We start from the raw sequence: 23,964 nt of genomic DNA on the forward strand, positions 1-23,964 counted from the left end.
ACTCTGTCTCAAAAAAAAAAAAAAAAAAAATTAACCATCAAAGGCTTTTACAGAAAAAGTTTGTAGAACCCTCGGAGTCCCACCTCACCAGAGCTGAAGACTTGTTGGATTAACCTCATGAGAGGATTTTAGGTGGGCGTGACTTTGGATGTCAAGGAGAATGGAGAGTAAGCTGTGATCAGAACGCTGTGGTCATGCCTCCATGGCTCTAGCTGACTCCCCCAAGGGCAAAGTCCACCCTGACCCTCCCCTATGGACACAGTCCTTAGTTTACAATGTAATTTCACATTTTTTTTTTATTTGAAACGACCCTTTAAGGTAGAGTCCGGGGAGATGATACTGTTTCACTGATAAGCAAACTGAGGCCCAGAGAGGTGAGGTAATACCACACAGGGAGTTCGGGTGAGAATGGTGATCTCCTGGTTCCCAGTTTGGTGTTCTTGGGAATCACAATTCACTCTAGGGTGACCAACTGTTCTGTGTTGCTGTTGTTGTTGTTGTTGTTGTTTGAGATGGAGTCTTGCTTTGTCACCCAGGCTGTAGTGCAGTGGCACGATCTTGGCTCACTGAAACCTCCGCCTCCTGGGTTCAAGAGATTCTCCTGCCTCAGCTTCCCGAGTAGCTGGGACGACAGGCATTTACTACCACGCCCGGCTAATTTTTGTATTTTTAATAGAGACGGGGTTTCACCATGTTGGCCAGGCCAGTCTCGAACTCCCCACCTCCCGACCTCAGGTGATCCACCCACCTTGACCTCCCAAAGTACTGGGATTGCAGGGGTGAGCCACCGTGCCTGGTCCTGTTCTGGTTTTTATAGGCCCAAGAGATTTCCTGGAATGCAGGATTTTAGGTGCTAAAACTGGGGAAATCTGAGGCAAACTGGGACAAACTGATCACCCCACTTTGCCACCTCATGGATGTCTGACCTCAGTTACCCTAGCACTAAGTAGAATTAGCCAGCCAGGAGCTCAAGGCCCTGGGGAGACCCCTCAGTTAGGTGTGATGTGAGCAGACTGCCAGCACGGGCACCAACCGGTGTGTGTCCCTTTTCTCCAAACTCGAGAACAGAAATGTGATGGCAGCTTGAAGGGGGCTGGAAGGAGCTCTAGAACCCAGAGGTGAGACCTGCCTCAGCCTGCACCCCCTTTAGCAGCCAATGCCCCTGCTTGCCCCTAAGTTTCTCCATCTCTAAAATGATGATCTTTGGGTGCACCTAATAAATATTTACATTTTTACATTATACTTTCTTCTAGCACCGGAACTAATATTCATTCATTATCATAGACTTGGGGGGAATAAAAAGAGGAAAAAAAAAAGTTTTAACATCTAAATTTCCACTAATTCTAGTTTTTCCTAGATTTTTTTTCCATGTACAAAATTTATGCTTACTTTCACTCACTAGTGATTATACTATACAATTTTATTAGGTTTTTCCTTTTTTTATAACCTTTTCGTTTTTAAAAAAATTCTTACTAGATTATAAAATTGGTGAAAATATGAAAAACACATGAATAAAAAAGCCAATAGTAATCATCACCTATAATGCCACATATGTAAATATATATATACATATATAAATATATACACGTGTATATATAAATATAAACATCTATTTTCCTAGGCATATATGTGTTTACATTTATACGTGTATGTGTGTATATATTTAAATATGTATATATATTTACAAATAGGAGATAGTTATAGATATTTTAAAATACACATATATATACACAATACATGTGTTTATATAAACACATACTTTATGTATCTGTTTATAATTTATTTTTATTATAAAATTAATATATTTTCATTAGAAAAAATTCAAACACTCATAAATAAGCTTTCTCTTAGCCTCAAAACCATCCCTCAGAGATAATAACCCCTATTTTCAATTTGGTATCTATCTTTACAGGCATTTATTTCATTTGTAGGTATACATGTGTCTACATTTTTAACACAGATAGGATCTTAACATAGTACTGTTCTGTGACTTGCCTTTTCACTTAAAATATTATTGGCATATTCATAGAATGTTCTCTCCTGCTTTATTCACTTAACTTTCAAAGATAACTTCTAGACTTTTTATAAACTGAAGTATTTTACTGAATGGCTATAGTTGTTAAACCTCACTTTGGCACTTCTTTGTTATTTCTGATTTTAACTTATTTTTTAAATTACACAAGTAGTATGTAGATACATTCACATTAAAAAAAATTCAAACTATAAGGAAGAGGCCAGGCGCAGTGGCTCACACCTGTAATCCCAGCACTTTGGGAGGCTTAGGTGCCTCGATCACCTGAGCCCAGGAGTTTGAGACCAGTCTGGGCAACATGGCGAAACTCCATCTCTACTAAAAATACAAAAAAACTAGCAGGGTATTGTAGTATGCACCTGTACTCCCAGCTATTCTGAAGGCTGAAGTGGGAGAATTGCCTGAGCCCAGGAGGCAGAGATTGCAGTGAGCTGAGATCCCACCACTGTACTACAGCCCAGGGGATAGAGCCAGACCCTCTCTCAAACAAACAAACGAATTCAAACTATAAGGAAGAAAAGAGAGCAGTTTGCCTTCCTCTTTTCCCCACCCATATTCCTGTCCAGCAATAGCCACTGTAACAGTCTCTCTTCTATGCATTTACATATATGAACATATTTATCTACTGGATTCACACAGTACCTATTGTTCTGCAACCTGCCTTTTACATACACGTAGAAATCTACAGAGCCTTCACCGGCCTATTCAATGCCTTTACTGGATTTAGAAAAAGGCACTCCTTTATCAAATAAGTATTTTTTAAGTTAGCACAATCTGATTAGCTCTGCCAAGGGTGCTTTCCAGAGTGTGGCCTGGCTCTGGCATGGCCTGGCTGTGCACCACACTCTCATCCACTTATACTCTGAACTCCCTGAATGCCAGTGTGCTTGAGCCTCCAAAGAGGGCACAGTCCACCTCCACATGAGGAATCCATGTCAGATTTGGAGTTAGGCAGGAGGCAGGGATTGGAGCAGCAGGTGAATAAGAGGAGATTTCAGTGGGCTCCTAGAATACATGTGGGACTGGTTTTAACTACATATGCATGTGTGTGCTGGTGAGTGTGAGTGCATGCTCTGCTGAGTGTGTGCATGGCTATGTGTGCCGGTACTAAACTACATGAGCACAAGCAAGCTCTCACATCTCAGTATATGTCTAAGATGTCAATGAAGTTCCCTTGTGCAGTGAACAACCTAGACAGCAGTAGGCAGCATCCCTGGAGATGGACTTGTTTTTAACAGCTACATAGCAATGCATAAAATGGCTGTATCATAATTTAGCTAGGTGTTCCCTTTTTGATGGATATTTAGCTTCCCTCCCTCCCTCCCTCCCTTCCCTCTTTTCCTCCCTCCTTTCTTCTCTCACTCCCTCCCTCTCTCCCACCTTTCCTACTTCCCTCCCTCCCTCTTTCCTTCCCTCCTTCCCTCCCTCCCTCTCTCCTTCCTTCCTTCCCTCCCTCCCTCCTTCCTTCCTGTCTACCAACCTGTCTATTGTTATTACAAACAATGGTGTTAGGAATTTCTCTGCACTCACTTCTTTGAGTATTTCTGTAGCCTAGACTACTAAAAGCACAATTACTAGGTCAGAGGTAGGTGCACTTAAATTTTAAAAACTATTGCCTTCTAGTATTTTTATGCCCCAAACTGAATGACTGACAGTCCTTGTTTCATCATGACCTTTCTGGCTTTAAGTATAGTTAAAACAATTTTCTAGCTTTGAAGGCAAGGTATGGTATCTCATTGTTTGTTTCCTTTGCATTTCTTTGCTTACTAGCTAGATTGAACATGTTTACCACTTTGTTTGCCAATTACTTTTGGTTGCTTGCTAATTATCTGTTTGTGTCCTTACTCATTTATCTATTGCAAAAGACCAACTACTTTTAGCCATGACTGGATTAGATAACTAATTAGATAACTTATTGTTTACTAAGCATTTTTTTTGTGCCAGACACTATGCTAAGCACTTTGCACAGACTATTTTTCATTTAATTAACTTAGCGAAGAAGATATTGTTATCTCCACTTTAAAGATAAGAGACTAAGGCTTAGAGAACTAGAACAACATAGATCACTCACCTGGGTGAGTTGAAGGTGCCACAGTTTGAGCCCAGCACTGACTACTCAGTCCTCTAACCACTCAGTTGTATTGTCACAAGGGTGTCTTGAAACTTCTTTAACATGTGATTTGTTGACTGATTCATTCATTTAATGAACACTGATTTCCCACACTGGGGCAAGCACATATCTGCCTGGCACCCAGGCCACAGTGGGTTTGCAAGGTGCTACCTATAAGCTCTACACATATAGTGTGGCATGAATGCTAAGCTTTGGACTGATAGGGACAAGCAGAGGGAGCTGTTACTAGAACCTGGAAAGAGTGGCTGGGTGGAAAAGGCCATTGACAGGAGAATGGCTTTGGTAGAAGAGTGTCACCAATCTTTTATGACCAGCAGCACTAGAACCAGAATAAACACCTATCCTGACACTCCTCCCTCCCTCCCATCTCCTGCCAGTGCTTCCCATGCACCAGACACCACTGGAGGCTAAAGGACAAGGATATTCACTGAGGAAGTCCATTTGGGTCAGCCTCTCAGGGTACAGAGTTGGGGAGGGCATGATAAAATATATCTAGGCTGGTTGTGGTGGCTCACGCCTGTAATCCCAGCACTTTGGGAGGCTGAGGAGGGCGGATCACTGGAGGTCAGGAGTTTGAGACCATTCAGGACAACATGATGAAAACCTGTCTCCACTAAAAATACAAAAATTAGCCAGGCATGGTGGGAGGTGCCTGTAATCCCAGCTACTCAGGAGGCTGAGGCATGAGAATTGCTTGAACCTGGGAGGCAGAGGTCACAGTGAGCCAAGAACGTGCCACTGAACTCCAGCCTGGGAGACAATGAGGCTCTATCTCAAAAAAAAAAAAAAAAAAAGAAAGAAAGAGAAAGTATATCTAGAGGGACAAACAGAAGACATCCATCACCTCGTCTTCTGCACGTGTGGTGGATTCCCAGCAATAGCTGGGGATCCAACCATTTTGCTCACTGGACCAGGTACACCTTAATAGTGGCCACTTGTGGGATCTACTGGGCCAAGGCCTAGACAAGGCAGGTCACTGATGCAAGTTCATTGGAGAGAAAATGGGTTTGCAGGGGTGTTTATGGGGTTACTGGGAATTTTACTCTTTTAATTTATTTTAACTTTTAGGTTCAGGGGTACATGTGCAGGATTGTTATATAGGTAAACTCACGTCGCAGGGGTTTGTTGTACACATCACTTCATCACCCAGGTACTAAGCCTAGTACCCAATAGTTACATTTATTTATTTTCGAGACAGGGTCTTGCTATGTTGCCCAAGCTGGAGTGCAGTGGCACAAACATGGCTCACTGCAGCCTTGACCTCCCAGGCTCCCAAGTAGCTAGGACCTCAGCTCCCAAGTAGCTAGGACCACAGGTGTGTGCCACCATACTTGACTACTTTTTTAATTTTTTAATTTAGCAATATGCATTTAAATTCATCCATCTTTTCACATTTTGATAGCTCACGTCTTTTTATTGTTGGATACTATTCCATTGTACAGATATATCACACTGTATGCATCCATTCACCTATTGAAGAGCACCTTGGTTGCTTCCAGTTTTCGGCAATTTTGAATAAAGTTGCCATGAACATTTGTTTGCAGTTTTTTGCATGGATAGACATTTTCAAATCAGTGGGGTAAATACCAACAAGCGTGATTGCTGGATCATACGGTAACTCTATGTTGATCTTTGTAAAAAAATTGCCGAACTCCCTTCTAGGTGGCTGTATAATTTTGCATTTCCCATCAGCCATGAATGAGAATTCCTGTTGCTCCACATTTTTGCCAGAAACTTGTGTTTTAGGTTTTTGGATTTTAGCTATTCTAATAGGTGCATAATGATACCTCTTGTTTTAATTTGCATTTCCCTAATGACAAATGATGTTGGACATTTTTTTCCATATGCTTATTTGCCATGTGTATATATTATTCTTTGGTAAAGTATCTATTCAGATATTTCACTCTTTTTTTTTTCGAGACGGAGTCTGGCTCGGTCGCCCAGGCTGGAGTGCAGTGGCGCGATCTCGGCTCACTGCAAGCTCCGCCTCCCGTGTTCAGGCCATTCTCCTGCCTCAGCCTCCGAGTAGCTGGGACTACAGGCGACAGCCACCTTGCCCAGCTAATTTTTTGTATTTTTAGTAGAGACGGGGTTTCACTGTGTTAGCCAGGATGGTCTCGATCTCCTGACCTTGTGATCCGCCCGCCTTGGCCTCCCAAAGTGCTGGGATTACAGGCGTGAGCCACCGCGCCCGGCCTAAAGTAGTATTTAAATCAATTAGAAGCCATAAGAAAGAGTAGAATTGATAAGTAAATACAAGATGGTGGCTGGGTGTGGTGGTTCATACCTGTAATCCCAGCATTTTGGGAGGCTGAGATAGGAGGATTACTTGAGCCCAGGAGTTTACAACCAGCCTGGGCAACTAGGGAGACCTCGTCTCTACAAATAAAAATAAAAATAGGCCGGGTGCTGTGGCTCACGCCTCTAATCCAAGCACTTTGGGAGGCCGAGACAGGCATATCAGCAGGTCAGGAGTTCAAGACCAGCCTGGCTAGCATGGTGAAAACCCGTCTCTACTAAAAATCCAAAAAATTACCTGGGCGTGGTGGTGCACGCCTGTAGTCCCAGGTACTCGGGAGGCTGAGGCAGGAGAATGGCTTGAACCCAGCAGGCGGAGGTTGCAGTGAGCCGAAATCACACCACTGCACTCCAGCCTGGGCAACAGAGCAAGACTCCGTCTCAAAAAAAATAAAATAAAATATAAATAAATAAAAATAAGTTACCTAGGCAAGGTAGTGTGAGCCCGTGGTCCCAGCTACTCAGGAAGCTGAGGTGGGAAGATCACTTGAGCCAGGGAGTTCGAGGCTGCAATAAGTCTGATTGCATTACTGCACTCCAGCCTGGGTGACAGAGTGAGATCCTGTTTTAAAAACAAACAAAAAAAAAGATGAAACTTTTTTTTTTTTTTTTTTTTTGATACGGAGTCTGGCTCTGTCACCCAGGCTGGAGTGCAGTGACGCCATCTCGGCTCACTGCAAGCTCCGCCTCTCAGGTTCACGCCATTTTCCTGCCTCAGCCACCCGAGTAGCTGGGACTACAGGCGCCCACCACCACGCCTGGCTAATTTTTTGTGTTTTTAGTAGAGACGGGTTTTCACCATGCTAGCCAGGATGGTCTCGATCTCCTGACCTCATGATCCACCCGCCTCAGCCTCCCAAAGTGCTGGGATTACAGGCGTGAGCCACCACGCACAGCCTGAAACATTTTTAAAAAGATAACATAAACAGATAATCCTTTGAATCCTAGTCAAGGAGCAGGAATAATTACAATTAGAATGAAGAAAGGGCTATACAATTAGGTATAGGATAGTTCTATGTGTTGAGAACAGCTAGCCTGGCCATCACAATAATGCTGTTAGATGTCCTGCCTGAATGAACCCAGTGGGATGTTCCCTGAGAGGCATTATGGGGCAGCATTCCCTATCCTCATTTGGTTACTGTATCAAGTGCTTGGTTTTGCATCTCAGAATGCTGATTTTGTCATCAGATCCATTTCTCAGGCAGACTCACAATAGCCAAGTTCATAAGACTGATGTATAAATCTAAGTACCAATTTATAAATTAAAAATGAGAAATATAACTGAGGCTGGAAAACAGCCCAATCATATTAATCACAACAAAGGAAGTCTGTTAGATAAATTGAGCATTTCTAATAACAAGACATCCTTGTGAAGAATGTAAACTAGATAAAAATGTTCATTTTACAATAAGGATCACCTTGTCAGCTGGACCAGCATATGTGAAATTCAGCCACTGAAACTGCCTATCCCCTGGACCGTGCTGAGATGAACACTGCTGATTATTGCATCTCTGACTCTCCTTTGTCTCTGCTTCTACGAGGACCAACCTTCCCCTCTTTATGATTGACACTGGCTTGTTTCAGATAGGTCAGTGCATTCTAAAGGCAAATGAACAACGGCAGTCCTAGGAGCCGCTCCATCATTTTAGTTACAGAGCTCATGGACATAGATCCATGGTCTGCAGACAGGTTCTGGGAGATACGGGAACTTTCTAAACTAGATGGAAAGCTTTACATATAGTTTTTGCAGTTTTCTAAGGAGAGAATCTACAGGCTTCATGAGACCCTCAAAGAGGCCCACAAACTAAAAACAACAATTAAAATCTTCAAACATCTCTACTGTGATCTTTTTGAGTTGGGTTTGCAGTTTAATTCTCAGTAATTTTATCCTCATGCTCAGAAGAAACTCACATTTGCCCCAGGGTGCTGACAGCACAAGTATATATTAACAAATAAATTTGAGGCCAGGTGCAGTGGCTCACGCCTGTAATCCCAACACTTTGGGAGGCCGAGGTGGGCAGATCACAACAAGGTCAGGAGTTCAAGACCAGCCTGACCAACATGGTGAAATCCTGTCTCTACTAAAAATACAAAAATTAGCCGGTATGGTGGTGCATGCCTGTAATCCCAGCTATTCAGGAGGCTGAGGTAGGAGAATCGCTTCAACCCGGGAGGCAGAGGTTGCAGTGAGCTGAGATCACACCACTGCACTCCAGCCTGGGTGACACAGCGAGACTCCATCTCAGAAAAAAAACAAAAACAAAAACAAAACAAATAATTTCAATGAAATAGGCAAATTTCTATAAAAATACATACTATCAAAATTGATAAAACATGGAGTGAAAAACCTGACTGGACCAGTAAGTCAGGCAGAGACTGAGAACGTTTTCAAGCATAATGTTGGAAAGCAATCTCACACATGGAAATATGTAGTATGGAGAATGCAAGCATCATGGGGAAGACTGGAAATCATAAACATACTCATTTCTGGAACTGTCTATGGGCCCATGGGGCAAAGCAATGGGTATGCCTGCATCCAATCATCTTAAAGTATAGGGGGAACTTGGGACCTGGAGAACAGGGGAGAAGGATTTAGTCCAAGTGAGCCTTTGAGTCCATCTTGCCTTGCTTGCTGCTGGTGGAGGGAGAGTATTTGAATACTAACCCTTTCAGGAGCAGATCTTTTCAGACCCTTCCTGTCTTGCCCAGAGGAACTACTGCTAAACAAGAGAACACACATGAGTAAGACTGCCGGGGACACCAGCGGATGAAGCAACAGAACTAACAACGAAACAAACAGCATAGACTCCCATGCTGACTTAGTTGGCATTCTGGTTTTCTCTCTCTGAGCATAAGTATCCTTTGGCCTGAGTAAATTTCCTGGAATTATCATAAAAGGGAGGATAAAAGAGGGTAAGGGAAGGTAAAATGGGAGTTTAGAATCATTTAACGTAAGCTCATTTGATACTACTGATGAATTGGGCTACATCAGGTAGATATAGATGAAAAATCTAAACTAAAACATTAACAGATGTAATTAAACAACATAATGAAAGAAAAACTCACTATAGTTGTGCTAAGCATATCAATAATACAAGAAAAATTCAATAAGTAAGCCTATTAATATACTACTTTAAAACTATAGATCAAATATAAAAATGATCATCTTTGACCAGGCATGGTGGCTCACACCTGTAATCCCAGCACTTTGGGATACTGAGGCGGGTGGATCACAGGGTCAGGAGTTCGAGACCAGTCTGGCCAACATAGTGAAACCCTGTCTGTACTAAAAACACAAAAATTAGCCGGGGATGGTGGCACATGTCTGTAGTCCCAGCTACTCGGGTGGCTAAAGCAGGAGAATCGCTTGAACCCGGGAAGCGGAGGTTGCGGTGAGCCGAGATCGTGCCACTGCACTCCAGCCTGGGCGACAAAACAAGACTCCGTCTCAAAAAAAAAAAAAAAAAAAAAATCATCTTTATGGAAGGGAAAAATCAGTCAATACAATTCAATAGCCATTTCTAACAAAAATTAATTATAAAAATAGATGGTACCTCTTTAGCATCACTTTTTTAAAAATTGCAATAAAATATACAGAGCCCAAAATTTACCATCTTAACCATTTTTAAGTGTACAGTCGGTGGCATTAAGGACATTCACTTTCTAGTGCAGCCATCACCGCCATCTATCTCCACAATTCTTTTCATCTTGCAAAACTGAAACTCTGTACATATTAAACAATGACTGTCCATTCCTCCCTCCCCTCAGCCCTTGGCAACCATCATTCTACTTTCTGTCTCTATGAATTTGATAACTCTAGGTACCCCATCTAAACAGTCATACAGTATATGTCTTTTTGAGACTGGTTTATTTCGCTTAGCATAATGTCCCCCAGGTTCATCAGTGTTGTTGTATGTGTCAGAATTTCCTTCCTTTTTAAGGTGGAATAATATTCCATCTCATACATATACACCACATTTTGTGTATCCATTCATCTGTCAATGGACACAGGATGCTTCCACCTTTTGGCATTGTGAATAATGCTGCTTGAATATCCGTGTATAAATATCTCTTTGAGACCCTGCTTTCAGTTCTTTTGGTTATATGCCCAGAAGTGTAATTGCTGAATCATACAGTAATTCTAATTTTTTGTGGCTGCACTATTTTACACTCCCACCATCAGTGCATAAGAGTTCCAATTTCTCCACATCTTTGCCAACACTTATTGTTCTGTTTATATAGTAGTCATCCTTGGAACACATTATTATTATTATTTATTATTATTATTATTATTATTATTATTATTATTATTATTATTATTTTGAGACAGAGTCTTGCTCTGTCGTCCAGGCTAAGTGCACTGGCGCAATCTCGGCTCACTGCAACCTCCGCCTCCCGGGCTCAAGCAATTCTCCTGCTTCAGCCTCCCAAGTAGCTGGGACTATAGGCGCACGCCGCCACACCCAGCTAATTGTTTTTGTATTTTAGTAGAGACGGGGTTTCACCATGTTGCCCAGGCTGGTCGCGAACTCCTGAGCTCAGGCATTCCGCCTGCCTTGGCCTCCCAAAGTGCTGGGATTACAGGTGTGAGCCACCGCGTCTGGCCAGAACACATTTTTTTTTTTCTTTTTGAGATGGAGTCTCGCTCTGTTGCCGAGGCTGGAGTGCAGTGCCTGCGATTTCGCTCACTGCAACCTCCGCCTCCCAGATTCAAGCGATTCTCCTGCCTCAGCCTCCTGAGTAGCTGGGACTATAGGCGTGCGCCACCATGCCCAGCTAATTGTTGTATTTTTAGTGGAGAGGAGGTTTCACCATGTTGGCCAGGATGGTCTAAATCTCTTGACCTCGTGATCCACCCACCTCGGCCCCCCAAGGTGCTGGGATTACAGGTGTAAGCCACCACGCCCAGCCGAGAACACAATTTTTTAAAAAGACATTTATTCCAAATAAATCAGCATTTGCCAGAAACTAGTCTATAATGGAATGTCATATCAATATTATCATATCAACAACATGATATATCGATCAATATTGTCATATCAATAATATCAATATTATTTAATTTTGCTTTAAAATTCTGGCTACATCAGTAAGACATGAAACATAAATAAAAATATAAATATTTTAAAGAAAAAGAGAAAATACTATTTTAGTTATATTAACAAAAAACAAAGCAGGCTGGGTGCCTGTAATCCTAGCACTTTGAGAGGCCAAGGCAGGCGGATGGCCTGAGGTCAGGAGTTTGAGAACAGTCTGGTCACCATGGTGAAACCCGGTCTCTACTAAAAATACAAAAAAAAAAGCGGGACATGGTGGGGTGCGCCTGTAATCCCAGCTACTCGGGAGGTTGAGGCAGGGGAATTGCTTGAACCAGAGAGGTGGAGGTTGCAGTGAGCTGAGATCGTGCCACTGCACTCCAGCCTGGGCGACAGAGCAAGACTCTGTCTCAAAAAACAAACAAACAAACATACAAACACACAAAAACAAAGCAATCAACTGAAAAATTATTTAAAATATTTTTTAAGGATGGGGTGTGGTGATATACATCTGTAATTCCAGTACCTTGGGAGTTTGAAGCAAGAGGATTTGCTTGAGCCCAGGAGTTTGAGACCAGCCTGGGCAAAACAGTGGTAGCCCGTCTCTACAAAAAATTTTACAATTAGCTAGGCATGGTGTTGTGCACCTGTAGTCCCAACTACCTGGGAGGCTGAGGTTGGAGGGTTGCTTGAGCCCAGGAGGTTGAGGCTGCAGTGAGCTATGATTGTGCCACTGCACTCCAGCCTGGGAGACAAAGCAAGACTGTCTCAAAAAAAAAAAAAAAAAAAAAAAAAAATATATATATATATATATATATATATATATATATATATACATACACTATATATATATATATACACACACACTATATATATATATACATACACTATATATATATATATACACACATACACTATATATATATATATTTTTTTCTAACCAGTTTAGTGGTTAGGTATACAATAGATATACAGAATTAAATAGCGTTGTAATATATTATCAATGACTAGCTTGAAAATATAAAAAAATTTCATCCACAGTTTCAACAAATCATAAGTGAATTATTAACAAAAAAATAATGCTCATAAGCATTTCTCTTTAATATTTCACTGTTAAGTTAAGGAAACAAAAATATGAGAAATGTTTTTTTTAAAAGCTGAACAAATGAGGAAAAAAGACAGCAGATTTCTTTTTTTCTTTTTTTCTTTTTTTTGAGACAGAGTCTGTCTCTGTCGCCCAGGCTGGAGTGCAGTGGCGCGATCTCGGCTCACTGCAACCTCCGCCTCCCAGGTTCATGGCATTCTCCTGCCTCAGCCTCCAGAGTAGCTGGAACTACAGGCACCTGCCACCATGCCTGGCTAATTTTTTTTGTATTTTTAGTAGAGACGGGGTTTCACTGTGTTAGCAGGTTTGGTCTCGATCTCCTGACCTCGTGATCCGCCTGCCTCGGCCTCCCAAAGTGCTGGGATTACAGGCGTGAGCCACCGTGCCTGGCCCGACAGCAGATTTCTTAATGGGCCATCCAGATACTGTGAAGATGAAAATATTTCTCCCTGCTCCCCCAAATTGTTTTTGGCAAATGCAATTCCAATTCAAATCTTGGCAGGATATTTCTTAAACAACTGATTAAATTATTCTAGAGTTAACCTAGAGGCATAAACAGATCAGATTTTCAAACAAAATTCAGAAAAAGAGCAATGGATAGTAAAAAGACAAGCTCTAGTAGACACTAAAGCATATTATATAGCAATGAGATTAAAATGTCATGGGTCTTGAATAAAAACACGCTGTTGAAGCAAAAATAGCAAGAATAGTGGAAAAACTCAGATCTAGAATTTATTATGTATAAAAAGTTGACATATGCTAAAGAAGGCCTCACACAAAACCATGGGGAAAAGGAGAGTTGATATATTTGTTAGAACAATTGATTAGAGATGGCCGGGTGCAGTGGCCTGTAATCCCAGCACTTTGGGAGGCCGAGATGGGTGCATCATGAGGTAAAGAGATCAAGACCAGCCTTGCCAACATGGCGAAACCCTGTCTCTACTAAAAATATAAAAATTAGCTGGGCGTGGTAGCACGTGCCTGTAGTCCCAGCTACTTGGGAGACTGAGGCACGAGAATTGCTTGAACACAGGAGGCCAAGGTTGTGGTGAGCCGAAACTGCACCACTGCACTCAAGCCTGGGTCACAGAGAGAGGCTTTGTCTCAAAATAAAACAAAAGCAAAAGAACAATTGGTTAGAGACTTGGAAATGGAACAATTTACATGCTTATAATATACCAATTTTTTTTTTAATCAAACTTCAGAAAAACAAGTTTCTAGTCTAACTAGGGAAGAGGCAAACAAATCTCATTCTTTCTTTTCCTTTTCTTTCTTTTTTTTTTTTTGAGACAGAGTCTTGCTCTATTACCCAGGCTGGAGTATAGAGGCACAATCACAGCTCGCTGTAACCTAAACTCCTGAGGTCAAGTGATCTTTCTAACTCAGCTTCCTGAGTAAGGCATGTGCTGCCACGCCTGGCTAATTTTTTTTTTAACTTTTAGTAGAGAGGATATCTTGCTATGTTGCCTAGGCTGGACTGACAAATTTCAGTTTAACAAGGGAACTACTATTGCAGAAGGAAGAATAAAGTGTGTGAAACACAGAAGAGGGGCGTCCTAATTATGGCTAGAGGAATCAAGACAGCCTTGACCAATGAGCAGGCATTTATACTGGGTTTTGAGGGATGAGTGGGAGTTTGATAGGGATAAGAGAGAATACCCGTACAAGGATGAGGTCATAAAAAGGCCCAGCATCCTGAATGTAATGAATAGAAGGAGGTGGGCAGAAGCATGTCCATGAGTTGAGGGAGCTGCTTGCCTGAACGCCTACTACAAGTGTAGTACTCTTTCAACAATTTTAAGACACCGTGTCAACCTGATGGTAGTTTAGACCAGCAGTCCTCAAAGTGTGATCCATGAACCTCTGGAGGCCCTTGAGATCCTTTTAGAGGGTCTGCAAGGTCAAAATTATTTTCATTGTAATGTTAGGTCATTATTTCTCTTTGTCATGAGTGTACAGTGGAGTTTTCTAGAGGCTACCTGATGTGTGATATTGTAACCGATAAAATGTAGAGGCCCGGTGCGGTGGCTTATGCCTGTCATCTCAGCACTTTGGGAGGCTGAGGTAGGCGGATCACGAGGTCTAGAGATTGACACCATCCTGGCTAACACGGTGAAACCCTGTCTCTACTAAAAATACAAAAAATTAGCCGGGCGTGGTGGTACATGCCTGTAGTCCCGGCTACTTGGGAGGCTGAGGCAGGAGAATCGCTTGAACCCTGGAGGCGGAGGTTGCAGTGAGCCGAGGTCGCGCCACTGCACTCCAGCCTGGGCAACAGAGCAAGACTTCGTGTAAAAAAAAAAAATGTAGAGGAAAATAGGAGACTCAATCAAGCAGTCTTGTGCTGAGCCAAACATTAAGGAGGGCCTGCGAAACCAAAAGTTTGAGAACTTTGATTTAGACTCTGATGAAAAGCTATTAGAGGAAACACTATTAACAGAAGTCAAGTCCATGAGAAGTTTTTCTAAAAGTAGCTCCTTCCCCATTAACCAGAGCTTCAAATTCTGTTTTGGTCCTATCCTTCCCTGGGGTTATGTTAGAAGTGGGTGTGCCCTTGGAGATAGTTTTGAAAAGGTAAATTGGAAAAGTGGATTAAAACCATCAATTCTTTGCAAGCTCCCTGTTTCAAAAGATAGAATTTATCTCCCTACCCCTTGAATCTAGGTCAGTCTTATATCATTCTTTCATACAATATAGCAGAAGTGTCATCATACGACTTCCAAGGAAGACCAGGCTCATGCTCCTGTATTCCTGAAAGTGCTGTGCTCTGAAAGACTATGAGGGAAGAGAGGCCCCAGCTAAACAGCCATCACAGCTCATCTGTCACCTACAGCTTCTCCATGAGAGAGTCCAGGCAACACTAGCAGCAGGATTGCCCAGTCCACCCACAGAATCAAGAGAGATAATAAATTGTTGTTTTAAGCCACTAGGTTTGGGGTGTTTCTTACGGAGCAACAGACACTTGATAGAGTTGGGGACTAACTGCCTGGCCTCAAATGCAGAAGTATGTATTTTATCTCCTGGACCAGGGTTTCTCAACATGACATGATTGACATTTGAGGCTGATAATTCTTTTTTTGTTTGTTTTGAGACGGAGTCTCACTCTCTCGCCCAGGCTGGAGTGCAGTGGTGCGATCTCGGCTCACTGCAAGCTCCGCCTCCCGGGTTCACGCCATTCTCCTGCCTCAGCCTCCCGAGTAGCTGGGACTACAGGCGCCCACCACCACGCCCGGCTAATTTTTTTTTTTTTTTTTTTTTTTTTTGTATTTTTAGTAGAGATGGGTTTCACCGTGTTAGCCAGGATGGTCTCAATCTCCTGACCTCACGATCTGCCCGCCCGCCTCGGCCTCCCAAAGTGCTGGGATTACAGGCATTAAGCCACCGCGCCTGGCCGAGGCTGGTAATTCTTTGTTGAGGGGGGCTGCCCTGTGCATTACAGGATGCTTAGCAGCATTCCTGCTGCCACTAGATGACAGTGACAGCTCCACCCAGTTGTGACAACCAAAAATGTCTGCAGACATTGCCAAATGTCCTGTGGGGGACAAAATCCCACCCCCTCCTTTAGAACCATTGTCCTAGGCCAAACCATTCTGAGAATAAGAATCACCTGGGGGGTTATTAAAACTAGATTTCCAGACTCCTCCCCTAGAGATTCTTATTTATTGTGTCCAGATTATGACCTGCAATGTGAATTTTTTAAATGCTCAAGGTATTCTTATCAGAGGAATGTGAGAACTGCTACAGCAGAGACGAGGAACCAAAAGAGGTCTGACCTGCTCATTTTGTGTTTCAGGAAGATCCTTCTGGAAGCGGTTGGAAGATAAATCGGGTAGGATGTGGGGGGATGTAGAAAAGAGAATAGAATTGGAGGCTATTACTTAAATTCAGGTGAGAAATAACAAGGGAGTTGTATAGGGCAGTGGTGGTGGGGGTGCATTCCAAAGATATTTCTAAGGCAGAATCAGTGAAATTCATGACGAATTGGATATTGGGGAGAGGAGGGCTTAAGGAAAAAAAAATGAGGCCAGGTGCGGTGGCTCACGCCTGTAATCCCAGCACTTCGGGCGGCCGAGACGAGCGGATCATGAGGTCAAGAGATTGAGACCAGCCTGGCCAACATGGTGAAGCCCCGTCTCTACTAAAAATACAAAAATTAGCTGAGTGTGGTGGCAGGCGCCTGTAGTCCCAGCTACTCAGGAGGCTGAGGCAGGAGAATCACTTGAACCTGGGAGGCGGAGGTTGCAGTGAGCCAAGATTGCACCACTGCACTCCAGCTTGGCGACAGAGAGAGACTCCATCACAAAAAAAAAAAAGAAAAAAAAGAGCAAAAATTAAAGAACTTTTATACTTCAAATGATATCATCAAGCAAGTGAAAAGACAATATGCAAAATGGGAGAAAATATTTGCAAGTTACATATCTGAAAAGGGACTTGTATCTAGAACATGTAAGAACTCTTATGACCAACAATAAAAAGACAAACAACCCAATTAAAAAATGGGCAAAGATCTGAATAGACATTACTTCAAAGAAGATACCCAAATGGCCAATAAACACATGAAAAGATGCTCAACATCATTAGCCATTAGGGCAATGCAAAGCAAAACCACAGTGATACACCACTTCATACTCACTAGGGTAGTTATAATCAAGAAGACTGATTATAACAAATGTTGGCAAAGATGTGGAGAAACTGAAACTCTCACTCATTGCTGGTGGTTATGTAAAATGGTGTAGTCTCTATGGAAAACAGTCTGGCAGTTCCTCAAATGGCTAAACAGAGTTACCATATGACGCAGTGTCTACCTACTCCTAGGTAGATACCCAAGACAAATAAAAACAGGCTGGGCGTGGTACACCTGTAATCTCAGCACTTTGAGAGGCCAAGCTGGGAGGACTGCTTAAGCCCAGGAGTTTGAGACCAGCCTGGGCAACATAGTGAAACCCCATCTCTACAAAAAATAAAAAAAATTAGCTGGGCATGGTGGTGCATACCCGTAGTCCCAGCTACTTGGGAGGCTGAGGTGGGAGGATGGTTTGAGTCCAGTAGTTGAGGTGTCAGTGAGCTATGTTCATGCTACCACACCCTCACCAGGGTGACAGAGTGAGACCTCATCTGTTAAAAAAAAAAGTCCCTATAAGAACTTGGATAAAAATGTGAACAGGAGCACTATTCACATAATGGGCAAAAAGTGGACAACAACCCAAATGTCTATAAATTAATGAATAAATGTGTTATATTAAATATTAATACAGTGAAATATTCAGCAATAAAAGGAAATAAAGTGCTGATACATACTACAACACGATGAACTTTGAAAACCTTATGCTAAGTGAAAGTAGCCAGTCTCAAAAGACCACATATTATATGACTACATATTTATGAAATGTCCAAAACAGGCAAAACTAGCCAGGCATGGTAGTTTGCACCCATAGACCCAGCTACTCAGGAGGCTGAGGCCAAAGGATCACTTGCAAAACTTAAGGGACACACAGTAGCTTAATGGTTGCCTAGGGGTGGAGGTGGGCCATGGATTGGGGGAAAGGGGAATGTGACTGCTAATAGGTACAAGGTTGTTTTTTTGTTTTTTGTTTTTTTTTGAGATGGAGTCTTGCTCTGTCACCCAGGCTGGAGTGCAGTGGCGTGATCTCGGCTCATTGCCACCTCCGCCTGCCGGGTTCAAGTGATTCTCCTGCCTCAGCCTCCCAAGCAGCCGGGACTACAGGTGTGCACCACCAAGGCTGGCTAATTTTTGTATTTTTAGTAGAGACAGGGTTTCACTGTGTTGACCAGTCTGTTCTCTAACACCTGACCTCAAGTGATCCACCTGCCTCGGCCTCCCAAAACCCTGGTATTTACAGGCATGAGCCACTGCACCCTGCCAAGGTTTCTTTATAGGGTGACAAAATGTTCTGAAACTGATTTGTGGTGATAACTGCACCACTGTGAATATACTAAAAACCACTGAATTGTATAATTTCTTTCATTTTTCTTTTTGTTTTTTCTTTAATAGGAGACAGAGTCTTGCTATGTTGCCCAGGCTGGAGTGCAATGGCCATGATCCCATTACTAATCAGCACAGGAGTTTTGACCTGCTCTGTTTTGGACCTGGGCAGAGTCCTCTTTCTTAGGCAACTTGATGGTGCCCCCCACCCTCTGTGGACACCAGTGGGTACAGTGCACTACTGCCCAGAACTCCTGGACTCGAGCAATTCTCCCAGCTCACCCTCCTGAGTAGCTGGGACCACCGGCATGTGTCACCGCGCCCAGCAAATTGTATTCTTTAAAAATGGGTAAGTTGTAATGATATGTGTGTTAAATCTCAATAAAGCTTGAGTTTCTAGCTTTAATAACTGGAAACATGGTGTCACCATTAGCCAAAATTGGGACTACAGGAGGAAGAATGTGTTTGGGGGAAAATAAGCCTTGGACATATTGAATGGCTGTGATAAGCACACAGTGAATGTCCTGCTCTGGAACACAGGAAAGAAGATGGGGCTGGAAATAATAATGCATACACAATCATTTATTGAGCATCTGTTACATACCAGGTGCTGTGAATATGTTGTTTATGTACACTGACCGGTAGGTTGCGTATGTATACTGTTTATTGTTTCTGCTCCCTCTCTTCCCCTGTGTAAGTCAATGAGAGAAGGGCCTTCATCTTTCTTAATGCTGTCTCCAGCACCTACAGCACAGGCTGGCAGAGAGTCGGCATATAGCATTTACTGGGTGAATAGAAATGCAGTATCTTTTAACCCTCATAACAATCCTTTGTGGTAGGTTTTCGTTCCCATTTCACACAATTTTCTTAAGAGCACAAAGCTAGTAAGTGACAGTGGTCTGTCTGCATTCCACGTCACAATGCAATACTATAATCTCTCAATCTCCCAGAACGAATCTGGAACAAAGGAAAGCAGTAAAGGTCATGTAAACCCAATTTCTGCAAATTCATAATAACTGCATATGAAAATCCAACTGGGTTAGGTGCTGGAGTTAATACAACGATAAACTGGACAAGAATCGGAAGAAAAATACATTTAAGACAAAATCCGTAAGACTTGACGCATAACCTTGCTAGTTCAAGAAGCTCTTTCACACATATTATGTTATTTAACCCCCACAAATAGCCTAACAAGTAGGTTTTATTACCATTCCAATCAGGCTTTTGTCCTCCACTTAAACTGTACTCCCCAAGGTGACTTCTGTGTTGCTAAATGCTCAACAGGTACTCACTTCAGGCACAACATTTAAGGGAGCACCAAAAAACTAAGTGATCAAGATGAATAACATTTTTATTTTTTAAAATTAAAATTAATGCAAAAAAAAAATCCATGAATAACAAAATACCAACATTTAAAATAAAGAGGATTCTCAGGACTGGGCTCGCCTACCTGGATGCCCTAACGGAACTCCTCATTCACAATAGGATTGAATGACCTCGAACTAAAGTGTCACGTACTTCCTGCTCGTGATGCTCGTGAGCCCGAACGAAGGCTGAAAAACTTCAGGGGGAGCCATTCTGCCTATCACCCCTAGTTCCAGCGCAGCAGCCCAGCGTGCACCACGCAGGTGGGAACTGACCCCGTGCTTTTGGAACAGGCTGGAACTGGGGGTGCTTGTGCCTGTGCATGTATGTATTGCACACGTGTGCATGCACGCTTCTCGTCTTGCTTCTATTTCCAAGTCCCAGTTCAGGACAGGGCAGAGAACTGCTTTCCAGTATGCGCCCTGAGCTCGGACTTTGCGCTTGCAGACTGAGGCGCCGGCCTGCATGGGAAGACAGAAGCTCAGAATTCCTTCCTGCACAAGTGGCAGGTGGAGTGCAACTCTTTTTGGTGCCTCAGTCCAAGACAGGGACACGCCATTCCCTGCGAGGTGGCAAAGGTACCTGAACCTACATAACCAAGCCCTTAAAGTCTCCGCGGCACCTCTTAATCGCCTTCCCGTAGCTATTGGAGGTAGAGAAACCGCGGCGGGAAGCGCCCCAGAGAGGGCAGTGGAGCAAGGGACACTGGAGGTGCAGAAGGCGGAGGAGCATCTCCTTTCGCTCCGCCCCGCCTCTTTTCCTGCCTCCGGCCAATTGCCGTGCGCTCCGAGCCTTGACCCCGCCTCTCCCCGCCTCCTCCGGCCTGCGGCCCCGCCCGCGCCGGTAATAATTAGCGGGCGGGCGGGGCCCGCGCGTCAGCCGCGGGAGCCGGCCAATCCAGTGGCTCTCCTCCGCGGTCGCGTCATAGGCCGAACAACCAAACAGAAAAGTTTAATAAACAGCGGACGGAGGGGCCGGCGGTGGCGGAGCCGGAGCAAGCAGGGGTTCGGCGGCATTACCTGTACCCATTCACCGGCGGCTACCGGCGGCGGCGCGCAGCGTGTCAGGCGGAGAGACCCGCCGCCAGGTGAGGAGCGCGGCCCGCGGGGCCCGGCTTGCCCGGCGCTGCCCCTCCCCCGCCTGCTCCCTTCCCCCACCCGGCTGCAGCTAGGCGAGGCCCGCCCCCGGCCCCTCCCGGCGCCCGAGAGCCGGAAGCGGAGGGCGGCCGGCCGGCGCAGCAGGTGGTGGGCCCGCGGGGGCCGCGGGCGAGAGGGCGAGGACTCCCGGCTCCGGGGGTGGGGGCCGGAGATCGGCGGGTTCACCTCAGACGGCGCGCGGGCGCCCGCGGCCGGGGGCCGCTTCCTGTCAGGGTGGTCGCGCTGGGGTCGGGAGCCTCAGTTCTTCAGGGCCGCGGAGGCCGCGACGCGCGCCGCCCCGAGCGGGTTGCGAGCGGTTGGCTGGCGGGGGTCGGAAGGGCCCCGGGCACACTGGGGCGCGTCAGTTCCCCGCCTCCTCCGAGTCTCAGGTCCTCTTCGGGATGTTTTTCCACCTGCGGCGTTTTTCAGAAACCAGCCGGAGGCAGCCCGGTGTCTCCAACTCCTGACTGGCACCGGGAAGGGAATTGGTCTCTTTTTTTCCTGCTTGGGTTTAGCTTGCTTAGGATTCTAAATTTTTTGTCTGCTTTTTTGAAATAGTTATATTTAAGTTTTAGCTACCTAAAAAAGTATGAAAGAATATTGTGTTTGAAATCTTTTTAACTTGGTTTTTAAGTCACGTGCTAACTATCCTACACAGTTGGGACGCTATGATTTACCTTCACATCTCGGAAGTTGTAACCAGTTGTGAGGAAGTTAGGACCTTGGGGTTACCTAAAGATAATTTATATTAAGTTGTTGGGCCATAAAAACTGGGCAGAATTGGCCACGCGCGGTGACTCAACGCCTGTAATCCCAGCACTTTGGGAGGCCGACGCGGACTAATCACGAGGTCAGGAGATCGAGACCATCCTGGCCAACATGGTGAAACCCTGTCTTTACTAAAAATACAAAAATTAGCTGGGTGTGGTGGCGGGCGCCGGTAGTCCCAGCTACTGGGAGGCTGAGGCAGGAGCATCGCTTGAACCCGGGAGGCGGAGGTTGCAGTGAACCAAGATCGCGCTACTGCACTCCAGCCTGGCGACAGAGGGAGACTCCGTCTCAAAAAAAAGCCGGGCAGAATTAATGATTTTGAAGCTCCGAGAAACAGGATTAAATTCCTCTTTCAAACCGAAATCGGAATTTGATTTTTTAAAAGTGTAAAATACCATAAACTTTTAAGGTTAGTTGTTCGGTAACCATGTCACCAATTTTAAGGCACTTTCTGAGTTGTGTATAGTTTCTCCAGAGCCCTAGGGGAAATGTTTTGCAAAATATGCACGTTTAGCTTTCCAAAACAAGTTGTCTTTTTTATTTTTACTTTTTTACGTTTTAAAATGTGTTTAAAGGGAGACATCACAAATGTGCAGGAGAAAATACAGGGGTCGGTGGATTTATTATCTTGTAGTGATAACTTTTTGGGTGTATGCATATGTCAGAACTTACACGTTTTACACTTCAAATATGTGCAGTTTATTGTCAACTATATGTCAGTAACGTTTTTAAGAAGTAACCAAAATATATTTAATACTACCAAAAAAAAACACGGTAAAGTATAAGCAGATAAAAACATCATAAATCCTTGATGACTCCCCCCAAACCCAAAACTGGAACATTACTAAAACTTGCATTTGTCTATGAGTTTCTTATCTGTGCAGTGGATTTTGTGTATGTCACTTCCTTGACTTTTTGAAAAATAGTTTTATCATATATGTTTGTATGCCGAAACTGTGTGGCATTTAATTTGTTTTTCTTTTGAGCTTTATAAAAATAGTATGTGGCTGTAGTTTATTTCATTGCTTTATGATATGTTAATCTGCCATAACTTATGGGCACTTCGACCGTGTTTTTATTGTTTTTTATTTTGTTTTGTTATAAGCAGTCTTGCTCTGTGAACATTTCTTGTTTCCGGCTCTTGGTACACAAGTACAAGAATTTCTCTAGAGTAAATACTTAATGTGGATTGCATTAGACGGTATTAGGTAATCAGGACTAGAATAGATTGAATTACTTAGAAATAAGATGAATGAAAAACATTAGGATTCTCTATTATGTTTAAATAGAAGATTCATAGCCGTAGTGATTGAACTAGTTCAACCTAGTTGAACATTTGCATGAAAACCCAAAATTCCTGTTAACCTATGTGTAATGACTCTCTTACTTTGAAGTCACATTGTAAAAAGTCTGGCACTGTTTGGTATCTCCTTTTCAATGCAAAAATAGTATAGTAGAAAAAACGCTGGATTGTATGTAAAATAAATTATCCTTTCTGCTGTTCCTCTCCTCCCCTCTAATCTCTAGCAAATTACTTAAAAATTTCTCTTGTGCCTTAGCATACTCATGTAAAAGAAACTTGTCCTAAGCTTATCCTTCCACTTTTGCACAGACTTTAATTAAGGAAAACACCTGTCAAATGTCACACCCTTTAAGGGAAAGCATTAGGACCAAGGTGTTATTCTGTGGAATTAAATTTTGTATCCTTTGGAACATTTTTGGAAAAGTTGTGTGGTGGTTCAGGATTTGTTAACTCCATATTTAAATATGTTTTAGATTAGAGAATGCCCACAAGGTGTGTTTCCCGAGGATCTGTTTCATTATGCTAACAGGAACACAGCGACAAATTAGGGAATAGTATCTCCTTACTATCCTGAAGATAGGTGTGTTTTTATGTGTTTCATGTTTCATTCATGTATGTAAGTGTGAATTTACATGTAATTTTGAATAACCTTTTTGTTTGAAGGCATGGGAGTAGAGATGGTTTCATTTTTTCTATATGTAGCTTGCAGACAAATATCAGGATGCTTTGTTTTGGTAGGGCTGTATTCTGCTTTTAAAAACCTTATTTTTTATTTAATTATAAGGACAATGTGTATATGGGGTTTTCCCCCTCAAACTTGAGAAAGAATAGAAAGTTACTAAG

The 23,964-nt window shown here is 43.3% G+C and overlaps 1 protein-coding gene across 12 annotated transcripts in view, besides 4 other annotated features; it reads left to right on the forward strand.

The window, feature by feature from the left end:
* Positions 898 to 1,397: an enhancer, noted in NCBI's record as "H3K27ac hESC enhancer chr15:80332051-80332550 (GRCh37/hg19 assembly coordinates)". NCBI's record gives its function as "activates a minimal SCP1, AML or CMV promoter by ChIP-STARR-seq in primed H9 embryonic stem cells {active_cell/tissue: H9 hESC(primed)}" and the evidence as "EXISTENCE:reporter gene assay evidence [ECO:0000049][PMID:30033119]".
* Positions 20,140 to 23,964, forward strand: part of ZFAND6 (zinc finger AN1-type containing 6) — a 79,443-nt gene continuing 75,618 nt past the window's right edge. For 5 of the 12 annotated variants that reach the window (NM_001242912.2, NM_019006.4, NM_001242917.2 and 2 more), the window contains exon 1: positions 20,865 to 20,998. The gene's annotated coding sequence lies outside the window, so the exon portion shown is untranslated. Of the gene's footprint in view, positions 20,175 to 20,864; positions 20,999 to 21,110; positions 21,153 to 21,307; positions 21,437 to 23,964 lie in introns of those variants that run through there. The other 7 variants (XM_024449959.2, NM_001242913.2, XM_024449956.2 and 4 more) reach the window with 3 other exon arrangements.
* Positions 20,543 to 20,871: a silencer, noted in NCBI's record as "fragment chr15:80351696-80352024 (GRCh37/hg19 assembly coordinates)". NCBI's record gives its function as "represses an EF-1alpha promoter that drives an FKBP-Casp9 reporter gene in an ReSE screen in K562 erythroleukemia cells {active_cell/tissue: K562}" and the evidence as "EXISTENCE:reporter gene assay evidence [ECO:0000049][PMID:32094911]".
* Positions 20,543 to 21,437: a biological region, named in NCBI's record as "ReSE screen-validated silencer GRCh37_chr15:80351696-80352024".
* Positions 20,568 to 21,437: a silencer, noted in NCBI's record as "silent region_6730". NCBI's record gives its function as "represses an Ori minimal core promoter by ATAC-STARR-seq in GM12878 lymphoblastoid cells {active_cell/tissue: GM12878}" and the evidence as "EXISTENCE:reporter gene assay evidence [ECO:0000049][PMID:35858748]".

This window comes from Homo sapiens, chromosome 15 (assembly GCF_000001405.40).
Source record: "Homo sapiens chromosome 15, GRCh38.p14 Primary Assembly".
Taxonomy (NCBI): domain Eukaryota; kingdom Metazoa; phylum Chordata; class Mammalia; order Primates; family Hominidae; genus Homo; species Homo sapiens.